At 41.1% G+C, this 21,368-nt stretch overlaps 1 protein-coding gene, 1 non-coding gene and 1 pseudogene across 9 annotated transcripts in view; 2 read left to right on the top strand and 1 right to left on the bottom strand.

Moving 5' to 3' along the window:
* Positions 1–21,368, bottom strand: part of BTRC (beta-transducin repeat containing E3 ubiquitin protein ligase) — a 203,266-nt gene that overhangs the window by 177,866 nt on the left and 4,032 nt on the right. The gene's annotated exons all lie outside the window — the stretch shown is intronic.
* LOC124902576 (small nucleolar RNA U13) lies at positions 7,496–7,596 on the top strand. The gene has a single exon (XR_007062409.1). It is a non-coding gene; the product is annotated as a small nucleolar RNA U13 (small nucleolar RNA).
* On the top strand, positions 14,413–14,598 carry RNU2-59P (RNA, U2 small nuclear 59, pseudogene; annotated as a pseudogene).

Raw genomic sequence — 21,368 nt, 5'->3', positions numbered from 1 at the left:
ACAGGTCTAAATGAGATAAATCACGTCTAATTCTTTTTAACACGAATGCTTTCAAAAGATTATATTTTTCCACAAGACATTAGTAGAACACATTTAAGAGTACTTAAGAAATCCTTTGTAACATGACCACATATAAACCTAAGAATTGTATGTAGTTTATTGATGAGGTGCATATGTGTCAGGTAAGAGGACCATATTCAGAAGACTACCATATAATCAAAGGTGACCCATACCTACATGAAAAGAGTTTCTACTTTCAAACTCTGATATAAGTGGAAGCAATCCTTTCTGATTTTCAAAATGCCATGTCTGGATATGATTACAGGCAAAATTTGATAAAGCAGGATTCTTCTCAATTAATTTGACTAGCTTTTAAATTGTTTTTAAATTATGTGAAATTTATAGTCAACATTCCAAGAGAGAAGGAAGGAAAGAGATCTTGTAAGTTGTCATTATAATTAGGTGCAATTTAAAAACAGATACATCAATGTTCTTCAACTTAAGTCACCTTTTCTTAATTACACTGAACACTAAACCTGAATCACTGCTTGACCGCCTATTTCTCATTTCAATATATTACTGAATACTGCTTCAAAGCGGATGTTTTCCCATGGAAACAAGTTATAACTGGGGCTGGGCACAGTGGTTCAATTCTAGCACTTTGGGAGGCCGAAGTGGGCGGATCACTTGAGGTTGGGAGTTCGAGACCAGCCTGGCCAACATGGTGAAACCCCATCTCCACTAAAAATACAAAAATTAGCCGGGCGTGGTGGCTCATTCCTGTAGTCCCAGCTACTTGGGAGGCTGAGGCAGGAGAATCGCTTGAACATGGGAGGTAGGGGTTGCAGTGCACCAAGATCGCGCCACTGCACTCCAGCCTGGGTGACAGAGTGAGACTTCGTCTCAAAAAAAAAAAAAAAAAAAAAATTATAATTGGGAGCCTATTTCCTAACTGAGAACTCGGTAGCAAATAAAGTACTGACATGACTAACACCACCAAAACAAAGATTAAATAACTGTAAAACTCACAGTCATTAAAAAGAAGGAAATTATGTTCCAGCTTCATAAAATGGGAGTAACATACCAATGATCAGCAAGTATGCATTCCAAATGTGAAAAACATAATTCTTCCATATTTACTCATTAAACAAATTTAACCTCAAGCTAATAACCAACTCAAAAAAAACACTAAACATTTAATTAGCAATCATTTAAGTTTGCTTCTTATAATACAGACTGCTGCTTGGGATGATCTACAAAGGAGAAGAGATAGATGGGGCCAAATTAATATATTACTCAAGGGAAAGCCTTCCTTGCCTCCATCTAAATTACTTCCCTGAATAAGAATTATTAAAATCATACCATTGATCTATGCTACTAGGAACATGAAATCAGTAAATGTAGATCATGATCTTGTTCACGATCTTGATCACAGTGTCCATAAGCGTTTCTCACTTATTTCTGCTTTAAAAAAATTACAGGCATATAAAAAAAATTTTGGTCATCCTATCTCCTCAGTTTATTAAAGGCCACAAGTGTTCTACACACCAAAGGTCACCAGAAAAAAAAAAAATGCTCTGAAGTCACTCTCTTATCCACACTGTCACATGGCTTACTTAAAACTTTGTAGATAGGCTTCAGAGTACCTCAAACTTCACTGAAAAACCATGAATATTCAATAGTACAAACTCCTTTTTAAAAATATTAATGAAGTCTTTCATAGAATGTTAAAGTTAGGCATATCAAATATTTTGTTCTCATGACCATGCATTATCTTTTGTGTTGGATCCTCCATCAATAAAAGCATCAAGAATCGAGGAATGCATTAGGGAAATACAAATTGAAACCACAATAGGATATCCCTATACACCTATTAGAATGGCTAAAATTAAAAATACTGATAATCCCAAATGCTGACACGGATGTAGATCAACTAGAACTCTCACCCATTGCTTGTGGGAATGCCAACTGGTACAATCACTCTGGAAAATAGCAATTTCTAAAAAGGTTAAACCTACATTTATCACGCAATTCTCCCTCATGGGTATTTAGAGAAATGAAAATGTTCACACAAAATCTATACACAAGTGTTTATTTATAGCAGCTTTATTTATAATCACCAAAACCAGAAACAACCCAAATGTCCTTCAGGAGTGAATAAACAGTCTGGTACACTACACAATAAAATACTAATCAACAATAGTAAGACGTGAACTCCTGATACATGCAAAAACATGGATTAATCTAGCTCAAAGGCATTATGCTGAACGGAAGAGGTCAGTAACAGAAGATTTCATATTGCACGGTTCCATTTATATGACATTCTCAAAAACATAAAATGAAGTGAGGAAGAGGGGGTTAGAGGTGGAGGAAGAGTATAAGAGTTTTTTGCGGGGGAGTGATACAATTGTTCTTATCCTGATTGTGGTTTACATGAATCTACTACACATATTAGAATTCCTAAAACTGTGTACATTAAGAAAAATCCATTTTACTGTATGTCCATTAAAAAAATTGGAATCAAAAATTTGCATACAGCAGGCATGAATAAATATATATTTAAAGAGTAAAATGGAATGAGAGTGGAATGCCTATTCAATAAACTTTGGGAGTCTGTATGAATTGCTTTGTGTTAGAATGTTGTTGTGAAAGCACCACCACCACCACCACCTTACCCTATGACCTACAAAGCACCTTTACATTTACCTTATTTAATTGTACTGAATTACATCCTTTTCCTCTATGTAAAGATGCCATGGCTGATGGTGATTATGAGCTGAGGGACCAGCCACAGCATCTTTAAAATAAATGAAGATGATACACAATCTGTTCATAGTACTAGGAAAAACTACCAGTTTTATTGTGATGTGATTTTAATGTAGTACCTCAGTGGCCACATTCTGGGATGTTGCTATTGTCCTTCCACTAGATATACCTCTTCTAAGTGTCACAGCTTGCTTATATTCCTACTCCCATGGTTCACTATTTCTCTAGCTGCAAACAGCCTACAGAAGTAAATTGTTTTCTGAAACCAACTTACTACCAACTAGTTGGAATTCAGAGAGTCCAAGCCTTGGCCATGAGATTTGTCTCATTCTGCCATCACTTGTTGTTGTTGTTGTTGAGATGGAGTCTTGCTCTGTCACACATGCTGGAGTGCAGTGGCATAATCTTGGCTCACTGAAACCTCCGCCTCCTGGTTTCAAGCGATTCTCTGGCCTCAGCCACCCAAGTAGCTAGACTACAGGCCTGGGCCACCATGAGCGGCTAATTTTTTTATTTTTAGTAGAGACGGGGTTTCACCACATTGGCCAGACTGGTCTCAAACTCCTGACCTCAGGTGATCCGCCTGCCTCAGCCTCCCGAAGTGCTAGGATTACAGGCGTGAGCCACTGCAACTGGCCTGCCATCACTTTTGATTCCAGTTAATTCAGCTCCTTCCTGCTGTGTTTCCCAAGTACAAGGCCTCACCTTTTACTCTGGTTCTAGCCACATCATTTCCCCCACTTCCCCTGTGTTGATACACTGGCCAGCACACAGTGGACTAGATATTTTGTCAAAGCATGATCCTGAGAAACACCAGCATCAGAAACATCTGATATGCTTGCTGAACATGCCAATTTTTTAGGCGTACCAAGTAAAAGGGAAGAGGGGGGAAAAAGAACTAAGAATCTGTACTACATTTTAACATGCATTCCAAATAATTCCTATACAGGGTAAAGTGTAGAACTATTACAATAGACACTAATCAGTATAGGCTGAATGAATCAATTATTTAGTTCCTTGCTAGGTTTCCCAGTTCCACTTTTGAGTTCAAGCTTGAAGCAACGCTTTGCTACCTGTTTCTAGTATTCACTGATGCTTTCTGCCTATTGATCTCCCCAGAATATCTGCCCCAGACTCCCTGCCATTATTCTCCTGCTGAATGTATACCCTTGTATATGAGTCCATTTTTGCACTGCTATAAAGAAATGCCTGAGACTGGGTAATTTATAAGAAAAGAGGTTTCATTGGCTCACGGTTCTGCAGGCTGTACAAGAAGCGTAGTGAATTCTGCTTCTGATGGTTTCTGCTTCTGGGGAGGCCTCAGGAAACTTAAAATCACGGGAGAAGGCAAAGGGGAAGCAGGTGCATCTTATATGGCCGAAGCAGGAAGAAGAGAAGGGGGGAAGAGAGGGGGGCAGAGAAGGTGCCACACACTTTTAAACAACCAGAACTTGTGAGAACTCTATCACGAAAACAGCACAAAAGGCGGAAATCCGCCCCCATGATCCAAACACCTCCTACCAGGCCCCACCTCCAACACTGGGGATTATAATTAGACATGAGATTTGGGTGGGTACAGAGCCAAATCATATCACCTTCCCTTGCTAAGTTCCCCTGCGTCCACACACCTGGTTGAGTTGCCAACAGACACCTAGTCAATTTCTTTTCCCCAACTCCTAGCCACCCTGCAGCACCTGGCCTCTGTAGCTTTGTGCCTCCTTAACTGGCAGATCTTGATAAAACTGTGTTCCCAATAGACAGCGGTTATGAAATTACTCAAAACCAAATCCTGATATTTCTCTCACATAACAATTTGAGTACAGCTGGTCCAGAGATCTTCAATCTTCAGTTCAGCCTACTTTTTATGCGGATAAACTTTTCTTTTTTTTTTTTTTATTTATTATACTTTAAGTTTTAGGGTACATGTGCACATTGTGCAGGTTACATACATATGTATACATGTGCCATGCTGGTGCACTGCACCCACTAACTCGTCATCTAGCATTAGGTATATCTCCCAATGCTATCCCTCCCCCCTCCCCCCACCCCACAACAGTCCCCAGAGTGTGATATTCCCCTTCCTGTGTCCATGTGATCTCATTGTTCAATTCCCACCTATGAGTGAGAATATGCGGTGTTTGGTTTTTTGTTCTTGCGATAGTTTACTGAGAATGATGATTTCCAATTTCATCCATGTCCCTACAAAGGACATGAACTCATCATTTTTTATGGCTGCATAGTATTCCATGGTGTATATGTGCCACATTTTCTTAATCCAGTCTATCGTTGTTGGACATTTGGGTTGGTTCCAAGTCTTTGCTATTGTGAATAATGCCGCAATAAACACATGAAAAAATGCTCATCATCACTGGCCATCAGAGAAATGCAAATCAAAACCACTATGAGATACCATCTCACACCAGTCAGAATGGCAATCATTAAAAAGTCAGGAAACAACAAGTGCTGGAGAGGATGTGGAGAAATAGGAACACTTTTACACTGTTGGTGGGACTGTAAACTAGTTCAACCATTGTGGAAGTCAGTGTGGCGATTCCTCCGGGATCTAGAACTGGAAATACCATTTGGCCCAGCAGATAAACTTTTCTTAACCTCTTATCATGGATACTTTTAAATATACAAAAAAGTACAGAATAATATATAATCTCCATCTAATCATCACCCAGCTTTCCACCTTCCAAGTCTCATATATTCTATCACTTTGACCATCTTTTTTTTTTTTTTCTGTCTTGTTTGTTTTGTTTTGGAGATGGAGTCTTGCTCTGTCACCCAGGCTGAAGTGCAGTGGCACGATCTCGGCTCATTGCAAACTCCACCTCCCTGGTTCATGCCATTCTCCTGCCTCAGCCTCCCGAGTAGCTGGGACTACAGGCGCCCACCACCATGCCTGGCTAATTTTTTGTATTTTTTAGTAAAGACTGAGTTTCATCATGTTAGCCAGGATGGTCTCGATCTCCTGACCTCGTGATCCGCCCACCTCGGCCTCCCAAAGTGCTGGGATTACAGGCGTGAACCACCGCGCCCGGCCCTGCCCATCTTTATTTATACGAATATATCTTAAATTCAAAGTCTCCTTATTATAGTTAGGGACCATCCCAATATCTTCACCCACCAAACACTCATTTTCCCTTACCTACCTACTGCTTTGATAACCCTCTAATTGCCCTTAACATGACTGATGCCAGCTATATTTTACTCTTTTTCTTCATTTGTTCTACCCTACTCTCAGCAACCTTCTTCATTCTGTCTCCAGAATATCCTTGAATGTCTTTCCTCCTTTTCCATACCTACTGCCCTAGCTCAAGCCCAGTCTCTTGCGTAGACTATTACATACTTTAAATGGCCTCCCTGCCTCTCTGGTACCCCTCCCTAGTCTAATCCACTCTAAAGCACTAAGTGCTCTTTCATCTTTGTTGTTATTGCTCCCAGTGGGAATCAGATTCAAATGTAAATTACAGATCTTTCAGGAAAAAGTATTCACATGTTTATAGCTTGTACAGGGGCCACAGACCACAGATTTAAAGCCTCTGCACTATCAGCAACAAAGAGGATTAAATTTTTTAAATAACACCTAAAAACATCTGCTTCCTAGGAATAATTTAACAAAAGATATATAAAGACCTCTAAACAGAGAAATTCAAACCTAAATAAATGGAAAGACACATCATTTTTGTGGACTATGAAACTCAATAGTGTTAAGATCTCAGCTCTCCCAAAACTTATATATGGATTCAATGCAATTCCAATAAAAATCATAAAAGTATGTTTTGTGGAAACTGACTAGCTAATTCTTTTTTATTTTTTTGGAAACAGTCTCGCTCTGTTGCCCAGGCTGCAGTGCAGTGGCATGATCACACACTGCAACCTCTGCCTCCCAGGTTCAAGCGATTCTCCTGCCTCAACCTGGAGTACCTGGGATTACAGGCATGCCCCACCATGCCCGGCTAATTTTTGTATTTTTAGTAGAGACGGGATTTCACCATGTTGGTCAGGCTGTTCTCCAACTCCTGACCTCAGGTGATCCGCCCGCCTCGGCCTCCCAAAGTGCTGGGATTACAGGTGTGAGCCACCGCAACCGGCCTAGCTGATTCTAATACACATGAAAATGCAGGCCAGGCACAGTGGCTCACACCTGTAATCCCAACACTTTGGGAGGCCGAGGCGGGCAGATCACGAGGTCAGGGAGTTCGAGACCAGCCTGACCAACATGGTGAAACCCCGTCTCTACTAAAAATACAAAAATTAGCCGGGCGTGGTGGTGTGTGCCTGTAATCCCAGCTACTCGAGGCTGAGGCAGGAGAATCACTTGAACCCAGGAGGCAGATGTTGCAGTGAGCCAAGATTGCGCCACTGCACTGCAGCCTGAGTGAAAGAGCGAAACTCCATTTAAAAAAAAAAAGAAAAAGAAAAAGAAAAAGAAAACGCAAAAGGCCAAGATAGCCAATGCAATCTTGGGGGAAGGGGAAGCTGAGGGGCATATACTATCAGATATCAAGAAATGTTATTATATAAAAATATAGAAATTAAGACAGTGTGGTATTGGCACAAGAATAGACCAATGGAGCTACTGAGAAAATCCCAAAAGCAGGCCTACATACATATATAGACATTAATATGACAAAAATGACCCTGCAATAGAAAAAGAACAATCTTTTCAATAAATAGTGCTGAATAAGCTGGCTATAGAAAGAAAAGGAAAAAAAGAATTCTGATCCTTTTGTAGTTTGTAAGCATGACGATTGGGTTTTCAGCCTCATGTGTGAGGTGTGCCTCCCTCAAACCTTGTTACATAGGCACATTACCTGTCTGGCATGGAGAAAGAAAAAAAAAAAGAATGCTGACGTCTACCTCACACCATATGCAAAAATTAATTCCAGATGGATTGCAGAGCTAAATGCAAATGGTAAATAAAACTTCTCACGGACTTGAAGAGGTACTTGTAACATATACAAATAGCAGCATTATTCACAAAGGTCAAAACGTACAAGCTTCCCAAGTGTCCATTGACAACAAATAAAATGTGGTATATACATACAATTAAATGTTATTCAGCCTTAAAAAAGGAAGAACATGGATGAAACCTGAGGACATCAAGTAAAATAAGCTAGTCACAAAAAGGCAAACACTGTATGATTCTACTTAAATGAGGTATCTAGAGGAATCAAATTCATAGGAAAAAAAATAGAAGGCTGGGCTCAGTGGCTCATGCCTGTAATCCCAGCACTTTGGGAGGCCGAGGCGGGCGGATCACCTGAGATCAGGAGTTCAAGACCAGCCTGGCCAACATGGTGAACTTCGTCTCTACTAAAAATACAAAAATTAGCTGGCATGGTGGCACACACCTGTAGTCCCAGCTACTCAGGAGGCTGAGGCAGGAGAATTGCTTGGCGGAGTCTGCAGTGAGCCAAGATGGTGCCATTCATTGCACTCCAGTCTGGGCAACAGAGCAAGACTCCGTCTCTGGGGGAAAAAAAAAACACCAAACAAACAAAAAAAAAAGAATAGTGGTTGCCAGTGGCTGGGATAAGGGAGACATCGATAGTTTGTCTAATGGGTATAGAGTTTCAGTTTTGCAAGACAAAAAAGTTCTAAAGATTATATATGCAAAACAGTGTGAATATACTTAACACTACTTAACTATACATTTTAAATAGTTAAAATGGTAAATTTTACATGTATTTTACCACAATAAAAAATGTTTAAATGAAGCTTATATGTGTGTGTATGTATATAGGTACATATGTATGTGTGTCTGTGTGTGCAGATAAATAAAATCAACATCTTGGCCCAGTGAAGTGGTGCACACCTGTAACCCCAGCATCCCAGCACTTGGGGAGGCAGAGGCAGGTGAATCACTTGAGCCCAGGAGCTTGAGACCAGCCTGGACAACATGAAGAAACCTCATCTCCACTAAAAATGCAAAAAAATTAGCCGATGTTTGGTGGTACATGCCTGTAGTCCCAGCTACGGGGAAGTTGAGGTGGGAGGATCGCTTGAGCCCAGGAGGTCAAGGCTGCAGTGAGCCTAGATGGGAGAAAGGGAGGGAGGGAGGGAGGGAAGGATCTGTATGATCTTGGGATAAGCAAAGAGAAAAAGTGCTAACCATAAATTTAAAAATTGAAAATCTTGACTACATTTTGACTACAATAAACCTCTACTCATTTTGTCAGGGCCAGGCAAAACAGACATCTGCAGGATCAGCAGAGGTCTTAGTACAGGATGACAGAGTACCATCAGGATAAGGAAGAAGGGGCGGGCCCGATGGCTCACACCTGTAATACCAGCACTTTGGGAGGCCGAGGCCAGAGGATCACTTGAGTCCAGGAGTTTGAGACCAGCCAGGGCAACATGGGGAAACCCCATCTCTACAAAAAATTAGCCAGGCGTGGTGGCAAGCACCTGTAGTCCCAGATGCTCAGGAGACTGAGGCAGGAGGATCACCTGAGCCCAGGAGGTTGAGTGAGGCTGCTGTGAGCTGTGATTGTGCCACTGCACTGCAGCCTGGGCAAAAGAGTGAGACCTTGTCTCAAAACAAACAAAAAAACAGGATAAGGGATATGTCCATACAGAAATATGGCAGGTAACATGGCAGCCCTGCACAGAGTGTTGAAGTCCAAATGTGATGTGAAAAGCAATCTAGCACAGGTATCGGACAAGGGTGTTCATGGAAGGGTGTAGGCCAGCAATCTGACATGGGGTTTTGGAGCCTAAGTAAGTCAAGGACGGCATCTATATAGTGGGTGTGGGGAACAGCAGCAACATGAGAGTGGTCACATAGAAAGGGGCTGATTGACTAAGAAAATATTTTGAGGATAATGAAAGCCAAGTTACTCACTGTCAGAAAATGGAGTTACAATTATGAAATTATCGAACGAACCCTGTGGTATTAGACTGGAATTGGGGATATCAGTGTGAACTCATGGTTTTAAATAATATGTAAGATAAAATAACAACGTAAATGTGCAATGTGCACCTGTGTGTGTGGTGTGTCCAGTATGATGGCTTGTGAGCAGTGACACCCCAATAGCAATGAGCACGCTTAACACCCAGATCTGGACTTCTACATGTCATTCTCTACTAAAAGAAACTTCTAAAAGAGCTTCTCAGAGAAATCACTAATTCCAGGGCTAGGGCAAAAAAAGTATAAGAAGAGCCTGGAGTATCTTTCAGTAAACAAGAAAATGCTCAATGACACCAAAAAACAGAGGAAGCAGTTTGAATGCACTTCCCACTGGCCAAATAGGGAACAATTCAAGCATCAAAATAAATAAGGAGTCCTGGCACACAAAAAATAATGAGGCTCATGCCTCTCAGCACTTTGGGAGGCCCAGGTGGGAGGATGTTTGAGCCCAGGAGTTGGAGGCTGCAGTGAGCTATGATCACACCAGTGTACTCGAGAGCCTGGACAAGAGGGCAAGAACCCATCTCTTTAAAAAAAAAAAAATAATAATACTCCAATAGGGGAAAAAAGGCCAAGACTTGAATAAACACTTCAACAAAAGACTATGTCTAAACAGTCAACAAACCTAAAAAGGTGCTTGTTTACAGTAGTCATTAAGGAAACACAAATTAAAACGGTGGGATAGTACCATCATCCACTACAGTGGCAACAACGAAAAAGACGATGTTATTATTATTATTATTTAAGATGGAGTCTCGCTCTGTCGCCAAAGCTGGAGTCCAGTAGTACCATCTCAGCTCACTGCAACCTCCGCCTCCCAGGTTCAAGCGATTCTCGTGCGTCAGCCTCCTGAGTAGCTGGGATTACAGGTGCCCGCCACCACATCCAGCTAACTTTTGTACCTTTAGTAGAAGCGAGGTTTCACCACGTTAGCCAGGCTAGACTCGAACTCCTGGCCTCAAGCGATCTACCTGCCCCAGCCTCCCAAAGTGCTGGGATTACAGGCATGAGCCACTATACCCGGCCTCAAAAAAGACGATATTAAGTGAGCACTGCAAGAATGTTCAGCAACTGGGACTCCCATACACTGCTAAAGAAAGTATAAAATGAAAAACATTGGCTGACTGTGGTGGCACATGCCTGTAGTCCTAGTTACTCAGGAGGCTAAAATGGGAAGACAGCTTGAACCCAGGAGTTCAAGGGTGCAGTGACCCATGATCATGCCACTGCACTCCGGCCTGGGCAACAGAGTGAGACCCTGTCTCTAAAAAAAAAAAAAAAAAAAAAAAAAAAAAAAAGAAAAACAGTTGCATAGGTTCTACTAAAGTGTCTTAGTCCATTTACGTTGCTATAATGGAATACCTGAGGGTGGGTAATTCATAATAAAAAAAGGTTTATTTGGCTCACAGTTCTGCAGGCTGTACAAGAAGCATGGTGCTAGCATCTGCTCCTGGTAAGAGTCTCAAGCGGCTTCCACTCACGGTGGAGGGCGAAGAGGAGCTGCATGTGCAGAAATCACACGCCAAGAGAGAAACCAAAAGAGAGAAAAGGGAGGTGCCAGACTCTTAAACTACCAACTCTGGCAGGAACTAATGGAGCGAGAACTCACTTATTTCCAAAAGGATGGCACCAAGCCCTTCATGAGGAACGCACCTCCATAATCCAAACACCTCCCACCAGGCCCCACCTCCAACACTGGAGATCAAATTTCAACATGAGACTTGGCAGGGCCAAACAAGCTATATTCAAACCATAGCATAAAGCTAAACATTTTCATACCCTGTGACCCAGCGATTCCATTCTCAGGTACCTACCCAACAGAAATATGTACATATGTTTAAGGAAAAACTGTACAAGATTATTTATAATAGCACAATTTAAAGTAGCCCAAAACTGGAAATAACCCAAGTGTCCATCAAAAATAGAATGACTAATCTGAATGATTAATCACAGTGGAATACATTAACAAGAATAAACACACCACACCTCCCACAACAACCTGAATGAATCATCTTACGAACAATGTGGGACAAAAGATACCAGTCACCAAAGAATACACCCTGGAATGATTCCATTTAGATGAGCTTACATACCAATAACAGTAAAACTAATCTACAGATATTATAAGAGAGTGGTTTCCCTTGGGATTAGGGAGTTAGTAACTAAAGGGAGCATGAAGGCAACTTGTGGAGTGCTGGCAAAGTTCTATTCCTGATCTAGATAATGGTTACGAAGATGTGTTCACTAGGTAAAAACTCACTGAGCTATATATAATTATTTGTACATATTAAAAATATGTAACTATTTGTATATATATTTTACTTTAGTAAAAAAGCTCACATTAACACATACATAAAGTACACTAGAACATTCTTCTTAAATATAGACCTAGGCCAGGCGCAGTGAGTGGCTCACGCCTGTAATCCCAGCACTTTGGGAGGCCGAGGCAGGCAGATCACAAGGTCAAGAGATAGAGACCATCCTGGCCAACATGGCGAAACCTTGTCTCTACTAAAAATACAAAAATTAGCTGGCGTGGTGGTGCGCGCATGTAGTCCCAGCCACTGGGGAGGCTGAGGTAGGAGAATGGCTTGAACCTGGGAGGCAGACGATGCAGTGAGCCAAGATCGCGCCACTGCACTCCAGCCTGGGCGACAGAGCGAGACTCTAGCTCGAAAAAAATATATATATATATATTTATATTTATATATATATATATTTATATATATAAATATATAAATATAAATATATATATAAATATATATATTAATATATATAAATATATAAATATATATTTATATAAATATATATATAAATATATATAAATATATATAAATATATATAAATATATATTAATATATATAAATATATATAAATATATATAAATATATATTAATATATAAATATATATTAATATACATAAATATATATAAATATATATTAATATATATAAATATATATATAAATGTAAAAATATATATATATATATATATATAACTAGATTAAGTCCAAACTCCCTGGGCCTCCAATTTATATTTTCCTTATCTGCTATACTCAAATTATATCTATCTACCCACCTATAACTCACTGCACCTGCCCAACTTCTGATCTCCTGGCCTTTACCCAAGTTACTTCCTATTCTTGGAATTGCCCACCTCAGACACAAGTCTGTCAAAATCTATCTACTCTTCAAGGTCCAATACAAAACTTTCTTCTTTAAAGCTTCTAAAAAATCTCTCATTAAAACTAATTTCTCCTTCCTTTAACTCAATTTACTTTTTTTTCCTGTCGCCTCTCTTAAATTCTATAGCTCTTTGTGCCACTATTTTAGCACTTAACAAAGTGCGCCTTAAGAGATATTTATAAATGCCTATCTTATTAGATTGTGAAGCTCTAGAGAAGTTTTATTCAACTTTGTATCTTCACCCCCCTCTGCCCCCATAATGTCTTCCCCTATATGTAACAATGCTTTGCAATCAGTTCAGGCTCACATTTTTTATCAAATTACATTACAGGTACACTATCATGACCTCTCTTTGTCAACCCACTGATTTTTTTTTCCTATACTTTATTGCCAAGTACTACTTAACAGAAAATGTGGTACTCCAGCACAATTTAGGATCATACAGTCCTAAATTTCCTATGAAAACCTTGGATACATAAAGGGGTTTTATGGTGTAAATTGACAACCCCTTACTTATACATGGCAATTTAGAAATTAACATGAACTGAAAGGAAAAATAGAGAGAGACCCTAAGTAGGTAAAATTAACAATAGCTGATTTTCTGGTTAAGAAAACTGGAGCTCAGAGTAAGGAGTCGTTTAAGCAGCCACTGTCAGCCCACTGGCCAGTACACTTGCTACAATGTAGTCCATGATCATTTTGTTTTATAAATGCATATACTCAATATACTAAATTTTACTTTTTCCGATTATGATATATATTCACTGTAGAAAATCCGTAAAACATAAAAGAATTGAAAGAAGTCTAGGCATGGTGGCTCATGCCTATAATCCCAGCACTTTGGGAGGCCAAGACAGGTGGATCACTTAAGTTCAGGAGTATAAGACCAGCCTGGCCAACATGGTGAAACCCTGTCTCTAATAAAAATCACAAAAATTAGCTGAGTGTGGTGATGCACACCTGTAGTCCCAGCTACTCAGGAAGCTGAGGCAGGAGAATTGCTTGAACCCGGAAGGCAGAGGTTGCAGTGAGCTGAGACTGCACCACTGCACTCCAGCCTGTGCAACAAGAGCGAAACTTCGTCTCAAAAAAAATAAAAATAAAAATAAAAAATTTTTAAAAAGAAAAAGAATTAAAGAAAAGAAATATCACCCAGCCTGGGTGACAGAGTGAGTGAGACTGTCTCAAAAAATTAAAAAAAAAAAGGGCCAAGCGCGGTGGCTCACGCCAGTAATCCCAGCACTTTGGAAGGCTGAGGCGGGCAGATCACCTGAGATCCGGAGTTCAAGACCAGCCTGGCCAACATGGAGAAACCCCATCTCTACTAAAACTGCAAAATTAGCTGGGTGTGGTGGTGCATGCCTGTAATCCCAGCTACTCAGGAAGCTAAGGCAGGAGAATCACTTGAACCCGGGAGGTGGAGGTTGCGGTGAGCCGAGATCGCGCCATTGTATTCCAGCCTGGGCACCAAGAGCGAAACTCCATCTTAAAAAAAAAATAAAAATAAAAAAATTTTAAAAAGAAAAAAAGAAAAAGAATTAAAATCACTTCTCGGCCTTTTGGCTAAGATCAAGTGTAGTATCTGTTCTCATCAGTTTAGTATCTGATATGTCCTCTATCTGAGGACAATATATTAAATAGATTTTTGGAGCAGGGAGATGGAATAGGAGCTTGCTCCGTCCACTCCATGCATCGACCTGGTATTGCAGTACCTCCAGGAACGGTGCACTCGCTCCGGGGATACAAAAAAAAAAAAAAAAGAATTAAAAGAAATATCACCTAAATAATGCTTTTCTGTGTATTTACTAGTATATTTTCAGAATACCATTAAATATTTTGAAATATTACCCATAATTCAGCAACTCACAAATAACCACATTAACAGTTTGGTGTAGTACTTCCTGCATACAAGGATTTATGAATCTGTGCTACAAAAATATTTATCCACATGCTATAATTCCTGGATATCTGTCTCTATGACTTTTCAGTGAAAGCATGAAAGTTTTCCAGACATCTAAATATATCAGCACCTGATCTTTGCAACCTTAAGTTTAGGTGCAGCGAAGAGATGGAAAGCTGTTAAAACTGTTAACAAAGGAGTTGTTGGGTTATTATGTATGACCTTGATGTAAACTCTGTTACAGTTCAAATTCTGTTACAAATGCCATTCCAGTGACATCAAGCTTATCAGTCCCAAAGATAGAAGAATAGCACCATGATATTGCTGAACTTTTCAGGGCATCACTGTGGAATAGTCAAGATTCTGATTATTTCTTTATGCTTTTTTTCTACATAACATGAAGAGAAGAAATCTGCTGTATTACATTATGATTCTAGGAGTATCCAATCAACAGGTATTATTCAGCAACCAAAATGAAAAAGTGCTATCAGGAGAGTGTCAACAATAGAGAGCAGAAAGAAGAAAGCACAATAGTTGTCATAATAAGCATCTTACCATTCTTCTCTAAATCAACTGTACTAGATCACTGCAGTAGATTACTGTCACTATAGTATTGTGCAAGTTACTCCCTGCCCTGCTTGACTTTGGGCTTTTGACTTTGAGTAAGCCAAGTTTAGATCATCCACTACCCAGCAAACCCACAATTTCAAGAGAATAAATACCTATCACTGTAAGATGCTGGTATTTTGTGATTCTAAACGCCAATAGCTAACTGAAATGATACTGTGACAACAGTAGAGTCTTACTGCACTTCATCGGTAATTTAAATAATCAGGAAACCTATATGTAAATCTGGACAGTAATTCTTCCACTCTGGCCACCGCTTGACTGCCTACCTCAGAGAGATATCTGTCAAAATCTATCTATTCATCAAGATCTAATATGAAGCTTTCTTCTACAAAGCTGCTAAAGAGCTCTTCAGTTAAAACGAACTTCCCGGCCAGGCACAGTGGCTCACACCTGTAATCCCAGCACTACTAAAAAATACAAAACTTAGCCGGGCGTGGTGGTGCACACCTGTAGTCCCAGCTACTCGGGAGGCTGAGGCAGGAGAATCACTTGAACCCGGGAGGTGGAGGTGGCAGTGAGCTGAGATTGCGCTACTGCACTCCAGCCTGGGTGACAGAGTAAGACTCCATCTCAAAAAAAAGAAAAAACAAAAACAAAAACAAAAACGAACTTCCCCTCCCTTAAATTCTATAGCACTTTGTGCTTCTATTTTAGCATTTACCAAAGTGTGCCTTAACAGATATTAAGGAAACATGCCACCATATCCCACAGTTTTCCTGCTCTTCAAAGAGGAAGTATACTGCACGTAAGTAAGGCTCTCAAGTCAGACTGCCTGGATTTAATCTCAGGATACCTGCTAGCATGACTTTGAGCAAGTTACTTAACCTCTCTGGAATAATTTTCCTTAAATGAGAAATGGGGATAATAATAATACTGAATCTATCTCACAGGATTACTGGGAGGATTAAATGAAATAATATATATAAAGAGCTTAGAACAGTATATTTAGAACAGCAAATAGTACATGCTAAATAATTATAGTCAAACCTCCATAGCTGCAGGGAACTGGTTCCAGGATCCTCCCATCGGATACCAAAATCCACAGATACTCAAAAGTCTCTTATAGTGCCTTAAACGGCACATAACCTACACACATCCTCCCATATATTTCAAATCATCTCTAGATTACATATAATAATGCAATGTAAATGTTATGTAAGTAGTTGTTATACGTATTGTTTTTAATTCCCACTTTTATTGTTATATTGTTATTTTTTATTGTGGTCTCTTTTTCTGAATATTTTCAATCAATGGTTGAATTAGCAGATATGGAACCCACAAATATGAGGGACCAGCTGTTAGCTGTTAGCTATTCGTGGCTGACTGTATTAACAAAACACAAAAAATTTCTTCTGGCCGGGCGTGGTGGCTCACACCTGTAATCCCAGCACTTTGGGAGGCAGAGGCGGGCGGATCACCTAAGGTCGGGAGTTCAAGACCAGCCTGACCAACATGGAAAAACTCCGTCTCTACTAAAAATACAAAATTAGCTGGGTGTGGTGCCGCATGCCTGTAATCCCAGCTACTCGGGAGGCTGAGGCAGGAGAATAGCTTGAACCCGGGAGGCGGAGGTTGCTGTGAGCCGAGATTGTGCCATTGCACCCCAACCTGGGCAACAAGAGCGAAACTCCATCTCAAAAAAAAAAAAATTTCTTGCACCTCTGCATTCTCCTGTAATTGACAGCATCAGGTCAGGTCACAAGCCTAGGAGCAGGAAGGCAAAATCAGATACCCTGAAAGGAAAGCCAAACTACAGAAAGGAGCAAGACTTTAGAAAGAAATTCCAACTCAAGGCCGGGCACGGTGGCTCACAGCTGTAATCCCAGCACTTTGGGAGGCCAAGGCGGGCGAATCACAAGGAGGAGATCGAGACTGTCCTGGCCAACATGGTGAAACCCCATCCCTACTAAAAACACAAAAATGAGCTGGGTGTGGTGGTACGTGCCTGTAATCCCAGCTACTCGGGAGGCTGAGGCAGGAAAATCATTTGAACCAGGGAGTCGGGGGTTGCAGTGAGCTGAGATCATGCCACTGCACTCCAGTCTGGCGACAGAGTGAGACTCCGTCTCAAGGGGGAAGAAAAAAAAATATCCAACTCAGAAGGTTCATCTTAGGCAGGCAGAAATTCTCTCTCCCTTAGCTCTAGGGCTTTTGCTCCCTTGCTTCCCAATCCCCACCTTGGCCACATATAAAGGTAATCCAGGAACTAGCAGGTAGTGCCTCAGAGAACAATCATATTCTTAGTTCAACATTAATCTCAGTTATCTTTTTCACTTGTTTATCTCTGAGTCTTCTGTACAATGTTATAGCTGGTCTTATAGCTCTATCTCAATCAGGCTATGGGAAACTAAAAGGAATAAGCCTCAGACTATTCTAATTATCCAGAAATTCTCCCCAAGTACAGCAGAAATATTGTGGAACACTAGTTGAAACTGTTAAGATCCAGTGGACCCTTCCCATAGAGATTTCTTCCCCCCTCCATTGCCTATTTTAGAATGCTGAGATTGACTTATTACGGAAAGAGAAAGTTTTATTTTTATTGACTAAGTTGTTAAACTTTGGTAAATATTTTCTATTTCATCCTCAATGGATTCTCACTATACACATTTAGAAAGGACTTCTGTGCTATATTAAAATATTGCTGGCCAGGTGCGGTGGCACATGCCTGTAATCCCAGCACTTAGGGAGGCTGAGGCGGTTGGATCACAAGGTCAGGAGATCGAGACCATCCTGGCTAACACGGTGAAACCCCATCTCTACTAAAAATACAAAAAATTAGCCAGGTGTGGTGACACGTGCCTGTAATCCCAGCTATTTGGGAGGCTGAGGCAGGAGAACTGTTTGAACCCAGGAAGCTGAGGTTGCAGTGAGCTGAGATCGCACCACTGCACTCCAGCTTGGGCAATAGAGCGAGACTCCGTCTCAAAAAAAAAAAATTGCTAAAGCTGGGCATGGTGGCTCAAGCCTGTAATCCCAGCAATTTGGAAGGCTGATGCAGGAGAATAACTTGAGGCCAGGAGTTCCAGACCAGCCTGGGCAACACAGCAAGACCCCATCTCTACAAAAAAATAAAAATATAGCCAGGTGTGGTGGCACAAACCTGTAGTCCCAGCTACTCAGGAGGCTGAGGCAGAGGCATTGCTTCAGCCCAGGAGTTTGAGGCTGCAGGGAGCTCAGCCTACTGATGGCAGAGCTGCGCCCAAATAAAATAAAATACTGCTAGAAAGTAGGTGAGATTTAAAAAGTATTTTAGGCTGCGAGTGGTGGCACGCACCTGTAGTCCCAGCTACTGGAGAGGCCGAGGCACAAAGATCACTTAACCCTAGCCTGAGTTCAAGGCCAACCTGGCAACAGAGCAAGCAAGATCCCATCTCTAGAGGCCAGACGCGGTAGCTAATGCCTATAATCCCAGCACTTTGGGAGGCCGAGGCGGTCGGATCACCTGAGGTCAGGAGTTCAAGAATAGCCTGGCCAACATGGTGAAACCCCGTCTACAAAAATACAAAAATTAGTCAGGGATGATGGCAGGTGCCTGTAATCCCAGCTACTTAGGAGGCTGAGACAGGAGAATTGCCTGAACCTGGGAAGCGGAGGTTGCAGTGAGTTGAGATCGTGCCATTGCACTCCAGCCTGGGTGACAGAGCAAGACTCCATCTCAAAAAAAAAAAAAAAAAAAAAGCAGATCCCATCTCTAGGCCAGGCATAGTGACTCACGCCTGTAATCCCAGCACTTTGGGAGGCCAAGGTGGGCGGATCACTTGAAGTCAGGAGTTCGAGACCAGCCCGGGCAACACGGTGAAACCCTGTCTCTACTAAAAACACAAAATTTAGCTGGGCGTGGTGGCACATGCCTGTATTCCCAGCTACCTGGGAGGCTGAGGCACAAGAATTGCTTGAACCCAGGAGGTAGGGGCTGCAGTGAGCCAAGGTTGCACCACTGTACTCCAGCCTGGGTGACAGAGTGAGACCCTGTCTCAATTAAGTTTTTTTAAAAAAAAGAGATCTCTTTTGAAAGTTTATTTTCTAATTTAGCAATAAATAATTTCTAAAACTACTCAAAGTTGAATTTTTACTCCACATCTAATAATTCACTTTTGATAATTTATGAAAATCTACTATAAACATAAATTTAGAAAATTAGCAAAAAGAGGCCGGACACGGCAGCTCACGCCTGTAATCTCAGCACTTTGGGAGGCCAAGGCGGGCAGATCACCTGAGGTTGGGAGTTCGAGACCAGCCTGACCAACATGGAAAAGCCCTGTCTCTACCAAAAATACAAAATTAGCTGGGTGTGGTGGTGCATGCCTGTAATCCCAGCTACAGGGGAGGCTGAGGAAGGAGAATCACTTGAACCTCAGAAGCAGAGGTTGCAGTGAACTGAGTTTGCACCATTGCACTCCAGCCTGGGCAACAAGACCAAAACTCCATCTCAAAAAAAAAAAAATACAACAAAATTAGCCAGGCAAGGTGGTACACGCCTGTAATTCCAGCTACTTAGGAGGCTGAGGCAGGAGAATCATTTGAACCCAGGAGGCGGAGGTTGCAGTGAACCGAAATTGTGCCACTGCACTCCAGTCTGGGCAACAGAGCGAGACTCAGGGTATCTCAGACAAAAAAAAAGAAAATAGGCAAAAAGAATTACCACTAATTTCATACCCCAACACCTATAAGAGTACCCAGAAAACAAACTGTTTGAAAGCCAATTTAAACTGGGAATAGGTAAAGTATACACAAAAACTCAGACAACTTAAACTAAGAACTAGTTTCAGATGTTCATCCCACTACCTGGTAATCAATTTCACTGATGTAAAGAAAATTCCATTACAGTGAAACATCTGACAATTTATTTTAAAATGTAATCTGTTTAGATACCTCTGTTTCCTGAAGTAAGTAAGCAAGTTTACTTAATCACATTAATTCACCCAGTATTATGTCAACAGTGACATCATTAAGGGAAGTCACGCAGGAGATCATGTTAGTGCCTTCCGAAGTTAACCTCAAAAAAAGAGATGCCTCCTAAACATTCCTAGCATTATGACCCACAAACTTGGCCGATACCATTTTTATTTTTAGCCTTAACATCCAACTAGCATAGCACCTACGGTAGCAAGTCTCAAAAGGTGGCCCCCAGCAATTCCCCCTTCCTTGTTTATGCACGCCACCCTTCCTATCAATAGGTAGACATTATTTCTCCTCCCTCTGTAGTTGGCCTTGACTGGCTTTGACCCACAGTGACATTCTTGGACTTCCAAATCTAGGATTTAGAAGACTGGCAGTCTCTACCTCCTGTCTCCTGGAATGTCCCTTCTTAGAACCTTGCCACCACACTTTAAGGAAATCCAAGCAGCCAGGTAGAGAAAGGCCCATATAGAGGAGAAGTGAAGGTCTTTCCCACACCTCAGCCAATACCAAGTGAAGCAGAAAAACCATCAGATTTGAGGGGAAAAATAATTGTTTTTTTTAAGCTAAGTTTTGAGGTTGTCTGTTAAACAGCAAATATTTACCCTTTATACTGTTTCATTTATCTATCAGCTCTATAAATAAAACAATACATTCTAAAATTATTTCATCTATTTCAAGCTACTGTACTTGATTCTGGGATTGGCTGGACAAGAATATATTTATCCTGTTTTTAAAAATAAACGTGGCTTGGCAAGGTGGCTCACGCCTGTAATCCCAACAATGGGAGGCCAAGGCAGGAGGACCCCTTGAGCCCAGGAGTTCAAAAACCACCCCTGTCAACAAAGGGCGACCCTTGTCTCTACAAAAACAAAAAAGAAAAAAAAAATAGCCAGCATAGTGGTGTGTGCCTGTAGCCACTTGAGACGCCGAGGCAGGAGGATCATGTGAGCCTGGGAGTTTGAGGCTGCAGCAAGCTATGACTGCACTCTAGCCTGGGCAACATAGTGAGACCCTGTCTCAAAGGTGAAAACAAAAATAAAGTTCAAATTCCTCCTCAGTATGTCTTT

The sequence above is a fragment of the Homo sapiens genome, chromosome 10 (genome assembly GCF_000001405.40).
Source record: "Homo sapiens chromosome 10, GRCh38.p14 Primary Assembly".
Classification (NCBI taxonomy): domain Eukaryota; kingdom Metazoa; phylum Chordata; class Mammalia; order Primates; family Hominidae; genus Homo; species Homo sapiens.
Note: the sequence above shows the minus strand (reverse complement) of the source record. Positions and strands in the feature narration are given on the sequence as shown.